The sequence below is a fragment of the Homo sapiens genome, chromosome 14 (assembly GCF_000001405.40).
Source record: "Homo sapiens chromosome 14, GRCh38.p14 Primary Assembly".
NCBI lineage: Eukaryota > Metazoa > Chordata > Mammalia > Primates > Hominidae > Homo > Homo sapiens.
In genome coordinates, this window is record NC_000014.9 from 68205787 (window position 1) to 68221063 (window position 15277).

Consider the following 15277-nt stretch of genomic DNA (forward strand, 5'->3'; position numbering starts at 1 on the left):
ATTTGAGGCTAAATTACATTCATCATGATTCTATACCCCCAAATACTTCGGTGTGGTATTTCCAAGAAAGGGGATATTCTGTTATATAACCTTAGTAGAGTTATCAACTTTGGTAAATTTGATTAAATACTTCTATCTAATCTACCATTTATATGCCAGTTTTGTCAGTTGGCTCAAAGATACAATAGTGTTGTTTATAGCACTTTTTCCCTCCAGCATAGGATCCAGCATAGGATTAGGTATTGCCTTTAGTTGTCATGTTCCTTTAGTCTCCTTTAATCTGGAACATGTCTACAGCCTTTATCTTTTATGACTTTGTCAGTTTTAAAGAATTTAAGCCCCCCCTCTTGCTTTTTAAAAATTTGTCTGATGTTTCCTTATGATTAGAATCAGGTTATGCCTTGTCATCCAGGTGATGTTTTGTCCTTGAGTTATCACATCTGCAGGCACATAATGTCCATCTCCCACTCATGGTGATGTAAATTTTGATCTCCAGGTCAAGGCATTGTCTAATTTTTCCTTTGTGTAGGTACTGTTTTTCCTTTAAAAGCACTGAGTAATCAGTGGGAAACAAATAGCTTGCTCTTCATCACTACCCCCAAATTTATTATCTGTTGATGATTCTTGTATAGTCCAAACTTTATAAGATGACTGAAAAATCATGATTTTCCATCTTTGACATTCCTTCCACATTCGCCTGTCAACAGTAGACATTTTCTAATAAGCAGGAGCTTTTTCTTCTCTCCATCCAAACATGCATCTCTTACCAGTTTGTACTGGTCATGGAATCCACTGTTCTTTTCAGTGGTTGATACTGTACCAGATCATTTTGGTATATAAACTGTCTCAGATTTAGCCAGTATGTTCTGGTATCATATCTCCACCGTCTATTTTTTTTTTTTTAACACTTCCTTGATTTTTGGCATAAGTTATTCTAGGCACACCTTGTACCTACTCTGCCTAAGCTCTGAAATCACCCATTTTCCCAAGAAACCCCAGTTCTTTTTTTTTTTTTTTTTTTGAGACGGAGTCTCACTCTGTCACCCAGGCGGTTATGCAGTGGCGCGATCTCGGCTCACTGCAAGCCCCGCCTCCCGGGTTCATGCCATTCTCCTGCCTCAGCCTCCCAAGTAGCTGGGACTACAGGCGCCCGCCAACGCGCCCGGCTAATTTTTTTATATTTTTAGTAGAGACAGGGTTTCACCCTGTTAGCCAGGATAGTCTCGATCTCCTGACCTCATGATCCGCCCGCCTTGGCCTCCCAAAGTGCTGGGATTACAGGCTTGAGCCACCGCACCCGGCCACCCCAGTTCTTTTCTGGTGGAAATAGTGTTAAAGACTAAGTTCTGGGCATAGGTGTGCTCATTACTATTGAGGTATCTTGGCTCTTGGCTCTTTCAGTGAAGTGAACTTGGGGAAAAATACACACACACACACACATACATATATATATAAATACACACACATATACACCTACATATGCATATATGCATATTTTAGAAATCATGAATTGATTCATTGATATCTCCAATTTTAATTCATTCCCACAGGTTTCTTACTTGCCCAATTCAGTTTTACATGGCTTCTGAATTTGAAATAATAAGGCAAAATGGTAGAGATGTTCAGCTTGCAGTGGGGGAAGATAGAAAATCGAAATTCACATGACAGGGTGAAGCATAGTGATTAAGATTAGGAAGTCATCCACACAGAGTTAGGAGAAAATACATCTAGAGTTTGCCAAATCCAAAGGCAAGACTGTAAGAAAAAGATACTAAAAGAGAAAAGAGCAGAGGATGTCTCTGCATTTTGTGATACATTAAAAAGTTATGGTAGGAGAAGGAGATAAATTAAGAATAGCCTGGGGAAAGAGATGTAGAGAGTGAAGTCAAAGAAGCAGGGGAGCCAGTACTAGGTAGAGTCATGGTGGTCAGGATTAGAAAGAATTCCAGCAGTCCAATACTGCAGAATAGTCAAGGAAAATTGAAGACCGAGACTGGGCCTTTGGATTTGATATTTGGTTACCAAAGGTTTTTAAATCTGGATTTAGGAACTCATTTGAGATTTTTTTTTTGAGAATATAACTTTTAAATAACAAGTCAGCTCACGTTAATTAATGTTTAATGTTTTGGGGACATTTACATTTAGCTTTTCTTAACCTTTTAAATGTGTTCACTAAATATTATTTTATTTCTAACTGCAGGCTAAGCAAGTTATACTGTGTGTATAAAGTGCCCAAGTCTAAGAGGCATTGTAGACAGGCTATTTTTAGGGAAACTCATGTTTTTCTTTAAAAGTTCAGCTAGCATTTGGAATCGATATACAGTATAATATTTAAAAAAAAAAACAACATATTTCCTCATCCCCCAAGAGGTTTCTTAAAATAGCATGTAATCTTACCTACAGTGGGAAAAGCCTCAAATTTTATAAATTGGGTTGGATCTAACCCAGATTACCTGACCAAGAGAGTCCCCAAGAAAAACAAGGTGTGGTAAAGGTTATAGTAATGGTAATTAAGAAAGTTGTGTTGTGCCTGCTGGGCCTCACTAAAAGCAATGACCCAGCCTGTGGCTACTGGCATCATTTTGACTGCTGAGACATGCTTTCTTTTGGAGAGAAGTCCAAACCAAATCTTTGCCCACTTTGAAAGCCAAGATATTCTCATTCCTTTCAGCCACAGAAAGGGCTGGTTTTTCTAACAGGATCATGTCCGTGTGACCTTCTGATGTATCAACTTGTTTTCTATGCAGTATATAAACAATAAAGGGTTTAATTTTAGTTGCTTTTCTTCACAGAGTCATGGAATATTACAAATGTTAGAAGCTAGAGAGGATCTTTGAGGTTATCTGCTTTAAGCCCCTTGCTTTCCACAGGAAAACACCAAGGCTCAGAGAGATAAAATGTGTCCATGCTGGACACAGCTGGAAAATGATAGAGCTTGAACTCAGGTTAACTGACCCTCCATGCAGGTCTGTGGCTGCACCATACATTACAGCATCTCTATTCAACAGTAAAACTCATTGGGGTTATATATTATACCCTAGTGGATATTACATCTGTGGGATGACAAGCTGCATTATGATAGAGTTGCACTGTGCTCAGCAGCAGTTGAGTAGCCAGCACCCACAGGCAACCTCTATGGGCAATCTGAAAGTGAAATCTTTACTGAATTGAATGGAATCTGTGGAGATCTTCGATAGTCTTCCCTTGAGGTGAAATCTTGTTTTGTTGAGTGGTTTAAGATGTTTTCTAGGGTGTAGCACTTTGCAGAAGTGCTTTCCTCTTTCATGATAGGTGACCCAGTTTGGAGATCAGGAAGATTTTGTCATCCTTCACATTGCAAGACTTGAAGACTTGCAACTCAAAATGGTATATTTTTTTCTTTTCTTCCAATAGAGAACAATTCCACTCTAGCACTCAAGTATCTAATACTTTTGGGACATGTTGAAACTGTTTCCATTTCATCTGATTTCACTCAGCAATTATTTATAGAACTCTCTGTGAGGTAGGCACCATGCTAAGTATCCTGAGGCTGACAAAGACATCCTTTCTAAGTTGAGGCAGTGACAGAGGGCACAGCAGCCATTGCTAATTGTCCTTGCTGCAGCCTTGTTGGGTGACACCTCTGGCTTCCAGGGCCTCATATTTTCACAGCTTCACTGATAACTCTCTGAGAGGAATTGTCCCTCCCACTAAGATTCCCTTCTAGAAGATGAGTTTTTCCATGAGCATTTTAAAATTTTCTTTGTTGCCTTGTTCATTTTTTTTTCCAACATTTAAAAGAGCAGAAGTGAGGGCGAAGAGAAAGGAGAATATTTAGATCTGAAAAATGCACCAGTCCACTTTTAATCTACTTTTGGGAAGATGATTGTAAGATATTCTGTACCCACTTAGGGATCTCCTGCCCTTCGGATACACATGCCTTAACTACCATCTTGCTAGAATAGAAGGTCCTGTGTTTAGGCATCAAAGAAAGGAATTGCACTGAGAAATTTTAGTGATAATTCTTTTATTGTAATCGTGATTTTCTTCCTCCTGCTAATCTTTTTAAGTGGTATTAAAGGAAGCTTCTTGCCAGGCAGTAATATTCCTCCATGAGCACACGATCTTTTTCCTTATTTGGCACTGGAATTTCATCAGGCTGTATTAGTCTGAGCGAAACATACTCTAGGAATACCTTTTTTTTTTTTTTTTGAGACAGAGTCTTACTCTGTCACCCAGGCTGGAGTGCAGTGGCGCCATCTCAGCTCACTGCAACCTCCGCCACCCGGGTTCAAGTGATTTTCCTGCCTCAGCCTCCTGAGGAGCTAGGACAACAGGCGTACGCCACCATGCCCAGCTAATTTTTGTATTTTTAGTAGAGACAGGATTTCACCATGTTGGCCAGGCTGGTCTCTAACTCCTGACCTGAGGTAATCACCTGCCTCAGCCTCCCAAAGTGCTAGGATTACAGGTGTGAGCCACCGCACCCAGCCAGGAATATCTTTAGAATAGTTCTATAGTTAGGAACGTTGAGACCAGGTAACAAGGGATTTATTCAATGGGATGACAATTTTTATACACCATGCCTGAAGCAAATAAAGGTGATCAGTATTTATATTGCAGTATTCAAATACTCTGGAGCCAAATAGATAGGACTACCTTAAAAATGTTCTTGTACATGTGGGTTTGATCTTAAAGATATTAGGGATGGTAACATACCATTCTATGTATATACATGACCAGGCCTTAGGTTACTTAAGGGTGATGGAATGACCATTGTGTGTGTCTTGTGTCTTGGTGGCCTTCAGTGAATTCTGCATGAGCTCTAGTAGTAACTGCCACTGCTGTAGTATCATGGAAAAAACACTGAACTTAAAATAGTTTTCTTACCTGTAACAAAATGGACAACAATCTCACAGAGTTTGTGTGAGAATTAAAGGAGAAAATACTTGGGAAGAAGTGCTTTGAAATCTCCATTGCACTCTGCAAAAGCAAGGAAATGCGCTTGTGATCAGTATCATGTTGACGTGGAGTGAGTTACTCCCCAGCTGTTCACGATATGGTCGCCCACAAAGAGCAAGTAGGTCACTTCACCAAACAGAATTCTGTATGTATTACAGAAACTCCCAGGCTGAGTCACCAAGTAAAATGAAGGGCAGTGTGCTCTATTTAAAATGTTCATTTCATTTTCGCATTCCATTCTTTACTAACAGAATGGTTTCACTTCATTTCCAGTCACTTTCATTTTCAGGTTGTCAAGCTTCACTTAGTGTCAGTTGTGTTCCCACACTCAAACATGTGCCTTGTCTTCCTTGATCTTCTCTCTGAGGATGTTTCTCTGACTAATGTGCTGTGGTCAGAACAAGAGCATTGCCACATGGTGCATTTCCTAGGTAGGCATGTCTAAAATCATTAAGTGGCCTAGCTCAGAACATTCTTTGTGACCCTTTCCCCTCCCCACCCAGTGCCTAGTGACTGATTTATCTGAATATAAGGCTACTTCCACTTTTAGTTCAAGGGCCTTGCTCCCTGCCTGCAAGAATCTCTCTAATCACATTGCCCTCCCTCCACCCGCTTTCCCCATTGAAACCAATGTTTGGAGAAGATAGAAGAATGAAAAGAACATCTCAGGTCCTGTTTTTGTACCACCTTCACTATTGTAGCACCTCTTTTGTGTTGCCAACTGAATATGGTATACATGGCTTTAAGGGGGAAAAAAGAAAAATAAAACATAAGAAAGTAGGAGAGCTCCTAGCTTTCTTAAATGAATTAAAGGCCTTAGGCCAGAGTGAATTATATTATAGATTGTAGACTAGATATGGTGGGGAAGGTTACTCAACAACTTGGTTGGGAAATAAATTAATATATAAAACCATCAGATATCAGAGCATAGTTGTGGAAAGTCACCTAAGGAAAGTCATTGTCTCTAGGCCAAAGACTGGCCTAGACGTAAGTAATGCACCAGTGTGTCAGAAAGGGGGTTGGTCGACATCAGAAGCACCCAGAGGCAAACACTGGTTGTGCCCTGTACCCACAGTAACTGTCCATAGAAATGTGAATGTTGGTAGTCTTCAAAGTTTCAGTGTCACTGGCAAGTCCTTCTTTGTTGGAAATTCAATTTAACATTCAAGTTCTATAGCAAATGCCTCCTATTATGATGTCTTGTGTTTACAGTTTGCCTCTGTAAGTAGAACCCTCTAAAGGGAAAAATGCTCTGGTCAGATTGTTATGGTCTGTATGACAGATACATAACTGTTGTAAATCAACACATTGGCATTCTCGTTTGCTCCACCAGTTTGTTGTGAACTTCGTCAGGGGAAGGCATCATGCCTAAGTCTATTCAACTCTGGGATACTGACAAGGTCAAATTTCTGTGCCTGCAAGGCTGGGACTGGACCCAAGCTGTACAGTTCATACAATGAAATAGTGCCATTTAGTAAAAAAGGGAGATAATATGGCACTTGGTTGGAAGTTTGGCTCTAGAATCTGATTGAACTGGGTTTGAATACTAGGTCAGCCACTTACATGCTGTATGACCTAAGACCCCGCTCTAAAAAGGATATTATCTTTACACTGACCTCAGAGGGCTGTTTTGAGAATTAAATTAGACAATCCATGTAAAATACTTGACTCAGAGCCTTACATAGAGCTGTTAGCAGCAGCAACAACAGCAGCACCAGCAGCAAGGTAAATACCACCATGTGTGTCCTTTGGGTGGTCAGCAGTTTGCTGAACAATTTGGACTGGTTTAGAACCCTCCTAACTCACTACTGGGGACTTTCCATTGGAACCACAGCACTGGGTAGTGACAGAATTTGCCAGTGTAATCACATCATTTATGAGAAATGATAGCAATAGGGTTTGGTGTCATAGTAATGGAAAATGGCACTGGACACTATCCTAATTTTGAAGAAATGGAGTGAAGAAGAAGACATGTTCCAGAATGCACAGGACATTGATCTTCAGCAAATTTTTAGAGTGGATTACTGAATGATTACGTGTGAGAAAAATGTGATTATTAGGAGTCAATATGAGCTCATTGAAAACAAAACATTCCTATTTCTAACATCCTTAAAGTCTTTCACAGTTCATCTTATTGGTTATGGAAATGTCAAGGGATAGATTTTTATTTCTGGGAGGAGTTTGGCTAAGATTTTTATGATACTCTTGTTGTCTTGTTGAGGTTAAGTAGATTCATAGCTGGTTGAACAAATGTCCACTGGCAGTTTTGACCTGATGGATGGACTAATGTCCATCTGGAGAGGGGTCCTCAGGGTAAGCCTCAGGAACCTGTCTAGTGATGCTGTTCTATCCAATTTTCTCATTAAAAATTTCTGACGAAAGCACAAATAATGTGCTTTTGCAACAAGTGAGATAGGATTTTTTAAAGATCTGTGTAGGTTGATGGGCGGATTTGCTAATAACAACCATATGTAGCATTTATTGAGTACTTACTGTGTGCCAGGCAAAATGCTAAATGTGTTGTATGACTTCTCTCATTTAATCCTCACAGTGACCCTCTGAGGTGTATACTAGTAATATTCCATTCTATAGATAGATGTAGAGGCACAGATATGCTAAGTCATTTACCCAAGTCCCACAGCCAATAAGAGGCACAGATGGCAGAGGACCATTTGTCTATCACCAAAGCCCATGCTCATAACTGTATTATGCTACTAGAACCAGTGAGTCAGAATTTTACACAGATTAATGTAAAGTCCTAAGCTAAGGTTAACAAAATAGTATGTTAAGTCTTGAAGGAGGAAGCTTAGGTTGATAGCAAGTAATAAGGAAAAGATTTAGGGACATTAGTTGGTGGGAAACTCAATGTGATTCAATACTAACGTATACCTACTTTTAAAAAAGAACAACTAATAGGAGGGTGCATTATTAGAATATAGCATCATGGATCATGGTGGCAGTAGTTCTTCTCTAAGAGTCCATGTCCAGAGTACTAGGTCAGGTCTGTCATTAAGGGGGTCCTTGACCATTATAATCAGGAGAATAAGAGGTCTGGATTTACATCCTAAGAGGAAAAACGGTGAACTAATGTCAGGCTGGAAAAGAGAAAAACCAAAGAGGAATATGAAGACAACCTTCAAATATTAACATAGTTACATGATGAGAAAGAGTAGATGCCATTGGTGTCTAAGAGAGTAAAAAAATCACTTCTCATTCCCTGTTGAGAAATGGACTCTGGCATCAGGTTGATGGAGAACAAAATGTCAGCTTTATTCCAGTAAAACCATATTAGAGAATGTGGCCTGATCTGTGGCTACAATCAGGCCTTTTATACCCTTCCCTAGTTAAACACACTCTCAGAGTCAGGTAAGGCCCTGGACAACTGTTGTTTGCAGGAGGAGGGCAGTTCCTGTGTGAAGGAGAAGGAGAAAGTGTGCATCCTGAAGCCAGGGGTGCACCTGACTTCTCGACTGTGAATGAGAGAGGAGGAAACCTAGTTCATATCTGCACAAAAATTCTTTTTGGTATCCTTGAAGTGGGCTGAAACAAAAAAGATCAAAATGTTACTCTAGCAGGAGGCCACTCATGGAAACCTTAGGCAGGGGAATTGTGTTACCCCTGGTACTTACCAACTTTAACTTCAGTGGGGCAACCAAGCCAATGGAGCACTCTTATCTCTGAAATGTTTGGCCTCTGTACAGAATGATGTGAAAAAGAATCTTCTAGCATGGGGAGGTGGAGGGGAGGGATGTCTAGATTACTTCTACGGCCCCCACTCCCTAAGATTCTTTTGAAATCAGTTAAGACACGCATAAATAAAAAAACTCCAAGTAAAGCATGTCAGTATTTTAAAGGCTTATTTGTTTGAGCAATGAGAGATGATCAGTGTTCTAAGTGCTATGGTTCATCATGTTCTGGAGGTGGCTTTGTTCCAACTGTTTGTTCACGAGTGTTTTGAGTTAAAGGGAATTACAGTCTACAAATTTATGCACATGGCACTTCACAGAATAGAAGAGGCCAACTTCTGGCCTCTTATACCCACATGCAACAAATACAGCTCGTGTCCTTCCCCCAGGACTCAATTTGTAAGCCTCTTTATTGCATTGTGCTGTAGTAAAAAATTCTCAGTTTTGTGGGCAACCTGTGAAACCAGCCTTCTTTTATTTCAACTTTGTTGTTTTGCCTTTATACTGTGAATTAAATGAATCCTTGGGGGTTCTAATTATATTATGGAAAAAAGAACTTGATATTCTGAGAAGCTGAAGAACAATTTGTTTTCCTCAGCTAGGTATTTAGGACTTTTAGGATTTAGTTACCATTTTCAAAAAACTTGAAGAAGATTAATTATCTCCATTGCCTCAAATGACAAAGATAGTATGTTCAATTCTCTCCTGAGTTATCATCATAATAACCCTATATTCTTAATATGGCCTTTTATATTTTACAAAGTTTCTCAATAGGGAATGAGAAGAAAGTGATTTTTTAATCTCTTAGACACCAATGGCGTCTACTCTCCCTTATCATATAACTATCTTAATATTTGAAGGTTGTTTTCATCTTCCTCTTCAGTTTTTCTCTTTTCTCTTTTACCACAATAATCATCACAAATAATCCTGTTTGGAAGGTGGAGAAGAGGAAGCAAGACAGATATTATTGTACCCATTTCAGAAATAAGGAGAATGGAACTCAGAGAGTGGTGGTGGGAACAATTAACAAATGTTTTCTGAGCACCAATCTGTTCCAACTACCTGCAGTAGTGCATTTAATCCTTATAATAGTTCCGGGAGTTAGGTGCTATTATCCCCATTTTGAGATGAGGAAACTGTGGCTCAAAGTGTTAGTTGCCCAAGGTCATGCAGTATTAAGTAGAAGAACCAAAATTAGACCCAGGCTTTCTGGTTCTGAAATCCATACTCTTAAGCACTAGGTTGTTACCACTGGAGAGGTTATGAACGTGCCCAAAGGCACTGGCTGCCTAGTAGCTGAGGCAGGGCCAGAACCTGTCTTTAGACTGCTTAGCACATCTTCTAGATCCTGTAGCTGCTTCACTGGTTTTCATTAACTTTGGGGTTTTTCAATACAAAAAGAGGAAACAAATGAAAGCTGAGCCGAATTTTGCTTTTGTAACATAGAGGAACTTACTCAGTACCAAGGATAATCTGAGGCTCTTATGGGATTTTTTTAAGTGCCCAGTGTTGTTTCATATTCTGTTTATTCTTCACCACCACCACCAGTAAATGCAGGTGGTTCTTGTCTCATAGTGATTCACATGTGGGTTTATGCCAGGTACACCTATTTTACTACTTTTGGCATTTATAAGGGCAATATGTTTCTGAACTAATTTGGGGAAAATAAGTTCTTATATTAATTGTAGCAGAAAAACAAATGGGAAAGTCAGTGAGGTTCAATGCAAAGAGCTCAGACCAACCTTTGGCATCAGCCCAAGCAGAGTTGGAAATCCCAGCTTAGTCTCTTCCTAAAAGAGGGACTTTAAGTGAGTTACTGAAGCTCTCTAAAAACCTATTTCTTTATTTTAAACTGGAGATAACACTTGACTCATGCGTTGCGTTTGTTAGAGAGAACAAATGAAAAAGGTCGTTAAGGGTTTATTGGCAGTGAACTGTATGGTAGGTGCTGTGCTTGTGTTTGCTTCACTTAATCCTCATGACAGCCCTAGGAGATAGGTATTATTATCACCTCCTGACAGTTAAGGAAATTGAATCTTAAGGACATGTGATAACTTTCCTAAAGTGAACTCTACCTTAATGTGTTGGAAAAGAGTGTAGCAAATCAAATATATCATTCAGTTTCTCCAAAGCCATGAAATGTCTTTAAGTCTCCCTGAAAGATTTCCCAAATAAGGCTGTCAAAGTCTTCTTAAAGAATCCCATCTAAGTTCTATTATCCCAGTGGTTCCTTTATCTTTTTATTTCTTGCCATAAAATTAAATCTAGAATTACAAAGAAGTATTTCAAAGTATATATAATATTCCTCTGTTTTATGGATTTACATATCACCTCCTCCATCAGCAGGGATTAGGAGGGGTGTAAATACTTGGATAGGGCTCTTTTCCTTGGACTTCCTCACCTCCATCAACAGGGGTCAAGAGGAGCCTGGACAGTAATCCCTGTCCGACCCCCCTCTCAGCCTAATCACTACTATTTGCCTCAAACAATCTTATTTCATGAGGCCTTTGATCAATGTTGAGATTAGTCACTGTAAGAAGCCTGACTTGTAGGAAACCTTTTACCTCCCAGACTCTAATTCTTCTATTCCGTTTCTCCCCAAGTCCTGTGTCCTCTGGAATTCAGAATCTGTCATTGGCAAGATCTCCTGTGTTCTCAACCCCTTCTCAGAACAGTCCTTTCACCTTCCCACTCTAAACTGAACTGTGGCTGTCGCCTAAGGATGCTGCCTCCCCTGCTGCTCTCCTAAGTGGTGGTAGTGTTATCTTCCCCAGTCTCCTATGACAAGGCCTGGAGGTGGGCTAGGTGTCCTCTTTCTTGTTCCCCACTGCTGCTTTCAGACCATTCTTCATCTCCTCTTTTCTAAATCCAGCCCTCCTCCCCCTTAAAATCTTATGTTATCAGTTATCTATAGACCTCTGTGAGCTTAATCCTACGCAATGTAAAGGCATATCTTTCTGGCCAATCAATATGGAGTTTATGGCACTTTTATAAAGAAAGTGGATAATGGCCTCCTGATCAAGAACATAACTGCTATTTTCATTAGTCGGTACTCTATGATGCGGGTGCATGGTCCAGGGGAAGTGGGTTCAGGCCCATCAGACTGACTGAGAGTTGAGTTCTTTACCCACTCAGAGTCAAGAATTGTGGTATGGGGGGAAGCACTGTGTGAAGCATCCTACAGGGGTCTGTTCTGAACACTGAAAATGTACAGTCCCTGTCCCAGAGTGGCATTCTCAAGATTTTTTTCTTGATGGGACTTGTGTGGCTATGGGCCAAATTAAATTTAATATAAGCCTGACTCTCATAGCCTTTGTAGAGGAATGAAACCAGAAGAATTTGGAGCAGAGAGTCGGGCACTCATAGAATATTTTTCTAAAACAGAGGAAGTCATGGAAGACTCAGGGTCTAGAGTATAAAGTGTTTGTTACTTAACTTTGAAAGGACAACTTTGTATAATTTAGCAAAGCCTTCTTGTTTAAGATTAGTCTCTAATAAGTAAGAGGGCCTTGCTGGATTTCTTCATAATTCTCAGTAGTTACCAGAAGTCAGAACTATTCCTTATCTGTAAGTAACAGGTCTTTAGATTATAGACCTAGTGGGGATATAACTTTAATGTTGTACAGTTAAATCAACTTCACACTATTTACAAGACATGTCATACAACACTGAAAACAAGAAATTAGAGTATGTGGAAACTATGCTACTAAAATTAAGCAGCATAAGGAAAATTAATGTAAGCCTATAAGTCACAGCTTGACTTCTGTTTCAGCAGCTGACCCAGAGGCAATGAAGCCAAAAACAATTTTAAGACCTGTTCTGTTCTGACTTGTAAAGATTATTTGATGTTAACCCCATACCCTTATCCCCTTTCCAAGTGAGTACCAGGGGTTAGGAAAAAGATATAATATTGCCTGGCTCATTTCTAATCAAACTTTAATGCTGGCTTCAGCAAGGCCAGATGCCTACTTTTTGTAAATATCATTGGCAGTTGGCAGTACATTTCATTAACAGTTTTTATGGCTATCAGTAGTATTTTTGATACTCTGAGGATGAGCACTAGAGAAATATGTGCTTGCTGAAAAGCCTGCTAATCTCTGTGTGATAACTTAATTTTGCTATTACCTGAATGTAAGTGCTATTGATGTGGCATTAGCATTGATTTCATAGCTATTTAATAAAGAGACAGAAACTTCAAATGCATAATTATGACATCAATATATGAATCTTTCTTTAGAGATGAAAAACACATAGTTAAAAACTGTGAAAAACTGCCCTGCTTATATCAGAAAACTTATACTTCTCTGTTGAAAAAATAGGCAACTAAAATAGTTTACAATATAATCTAAAAGGATGAATTGGTGGAATTTTCAGTATAACTGGAAGGTATGATGTGTTAGATAGTGGGGAGAGTGTATATATATTATCAAGCCACAATATTACAACCTGACACTATTAGATATAATAGATTATGCAGCCAAAAATGTGGTCATGGACAGTGATAGGGGAGCAGAATGGTTCGGTAAAGTACCAAGTCTGGTGACAGGACAATGGGAAAATTTCTGCAGCCTGATGGTCTGGGTAGTTGGATATAAGTCTGACAGCAGAGATACTTTCATATTTAGGGAAAACCTGCAAAATACTGAAAAGATTAATAAAGAGAAAGGGAACTTCTAAATAGCTAAAACTCCCGGCAGAGCAGCATAGCTGACAGAGCACCATAATCTTGCGTATCAGAGCTTCTCAATTCCTTTGGAACAGGAGAATTTGATAATTTTTTTCTCCCATGAGGATGCACTATGAAGGAAACCGCTAGGAAATTGGAATTATTTTAAAGTGATTATTTTAACATTAACTTGGTAGACTTCATCTATTCCATAGCATTTCTTTTCTTTTATCCCATTCAATTGCATCCTCTCTATAGGATTAATGCACTCTTGAAAGTGTCACCTTCTAGCCAGTGGCCAACTAACACAAAACCAATTCACTAAACAAAAACACAACAAAGGACCCTCAGAGAGTCCACTTCACTCCCTGCTACCTCCACTGGAGCAGGTACTGGTATCCTCGGCTGCAAGACCTGAAGACAGATCACATCACAGGACGCTTTGCAGACACTCGCCAGTACCAACCCAGAGCCCAAGAGCTCCACTAGATGGCTAGGCCCAGAAGAGCCAAAACAATCACTAGAGTTTGGCTCTCAGGAAGCCGCATTCCTGAGAGCGGAGCACCACCTAAGGGAGCACCCCGTGTCCCAAAGAATCTGAACAGCAGCCCTTGAATCCCAGATCTTACCTCTGACATCGTCTACCCAAATGAGAAGGAACTAGAAAAACAATTCTGGTAATATGACAAAATGAGGTTCTTTAACACCCCCAAAAGATCATACTGGCTCACCAGCAATTGATTCAAACCAAGGTGAAATCTCTGAATTGCCAGAATAATAACTATAATAATTCAGAAAGTGAATTATTAAGCTAATCAAGGAGGCACCAGAGAAAGGTGAAGTCCAACTTAAAGAAATCAAAAACATGATACAGGATATGAAAGGAAAATTCTTCAGTGAAATAAATAGCATAAATAAAAAACTCTCACAACATCTGGAAATCAAGGACACACTTAGAGAAATGAAGTCCCAGCAATAGAATCAAACAAGCAGAAAAAAGACCTTCAGAGCTCAAAGACAAGGTTTTCAAATTAACCCAATCCATCAAAGTCAAAGAAAAAAGAATTTTTAAAACTGAACAAAGCCTCCAAGAAATTTGGTACTATGCTAAGCATCCAAACCTAAGAATAATTGGTGTTCCCAAGAAAGAAGAGAAATCTGAAAGTTTAGAAAGCGTATTTGAGGGGATAATTGAGGATTAAGTGGGTTTCAGATGCAGAGATGGTTTAACATATGTCAGTCAATAAATGTGATATACCACATAAACAGAAATAAAATTAAAAATCACATGATCACCTCAAGAGACACAGAAAAAGCATTTGACAAAATCCAGCATCCCTTTATGATTAATACCCTCAGCAAAATCGGCATAGAAGGGACACACCTTAAGGTAATATAAGCCGTCTATGACACACACACAGCCAACATTATACTGAACAGGGATAAGTTGAAAGCATCCCTCATGAGAACTGGAATAAGACAAAGATGCCCACTTTCACCGCTTCTATTCAACATAGTACTGGAAGTCCTAGCCAGAGCAGTTAGACAAATAAATGGCATCCAAGTCAGTAAAGAGGAAGTTAAACCATTGCTATTTGCCAATGATATGATGGTATACCTAGAAAACCCAAAAAGACTCATCCAAAAAGCTCTTAGAACTGATAAATGAATTCAGCAAAGTTTCAAGACACAAAATTAACATACACAAATCAGTAGCTCTGCTATACACCAACAGCAGCCAAGCTGAGAATCAAATCAAGAACTCAACCCCGGCCAGGCATGGTGGCTCACACCTGTAATCCCAGCACTTTGGGAGGCCGAGGCAGGCAGATCACGAGGTCAGGAGATCGAGACCATCCTGGCCAACGTGGTGAAACCCTGTCTTTACTAAAAATACAAAAATTAGCTGGGCATGGTGGCGCACACCTGTAGTCCCAGTTACTCAGGAGGCTGAGGCAGGAGAATCACTTGAACCTGGGAGGCA

At 39.6% G+C, this 15277-nt stretch overlaps 1 protein-coding gene across 12 annotated transcripts in view, besides 2 other annotated features; it reads left to right on the forward strand.

Moving 5' to 3' along the window:
• Positions 1-15277, forward strand: part of RAD51B (RAD51 paralog B) — an 863318-nt gene that overhangs the window by 386008 nt on the left and 462033 nt on the right. The gene's annotated exons all lie outside the window — the stretch shown is intronic.
• Positions 4773-4972: an enhancer, noted in NCBI's record as "active region_8589". NCBI's record gives its function as "activates an Ori minimal core promoter by ATAC-STARR-seq in GM12878 lymphoblastoid cells {active_cell/tissue: GM12878}" and the evidence as "EXISTENCE:reporter gene assay evidence [ECO:0000049][PMID:35858748]".
• Positions 5143-5422: an enhancer, noted in NCBI's record as "active region_8590". NCBI's record gives its function as "activates an Ori minimal core promoter by ATAC-STARR-seq in GM12878 lymphoblastoid cells {active_cell/tissue: GM12878}" and the evidence as "EXISTENCE:reporter gene assay evidence [ECO:0000049][PMID:35858748]".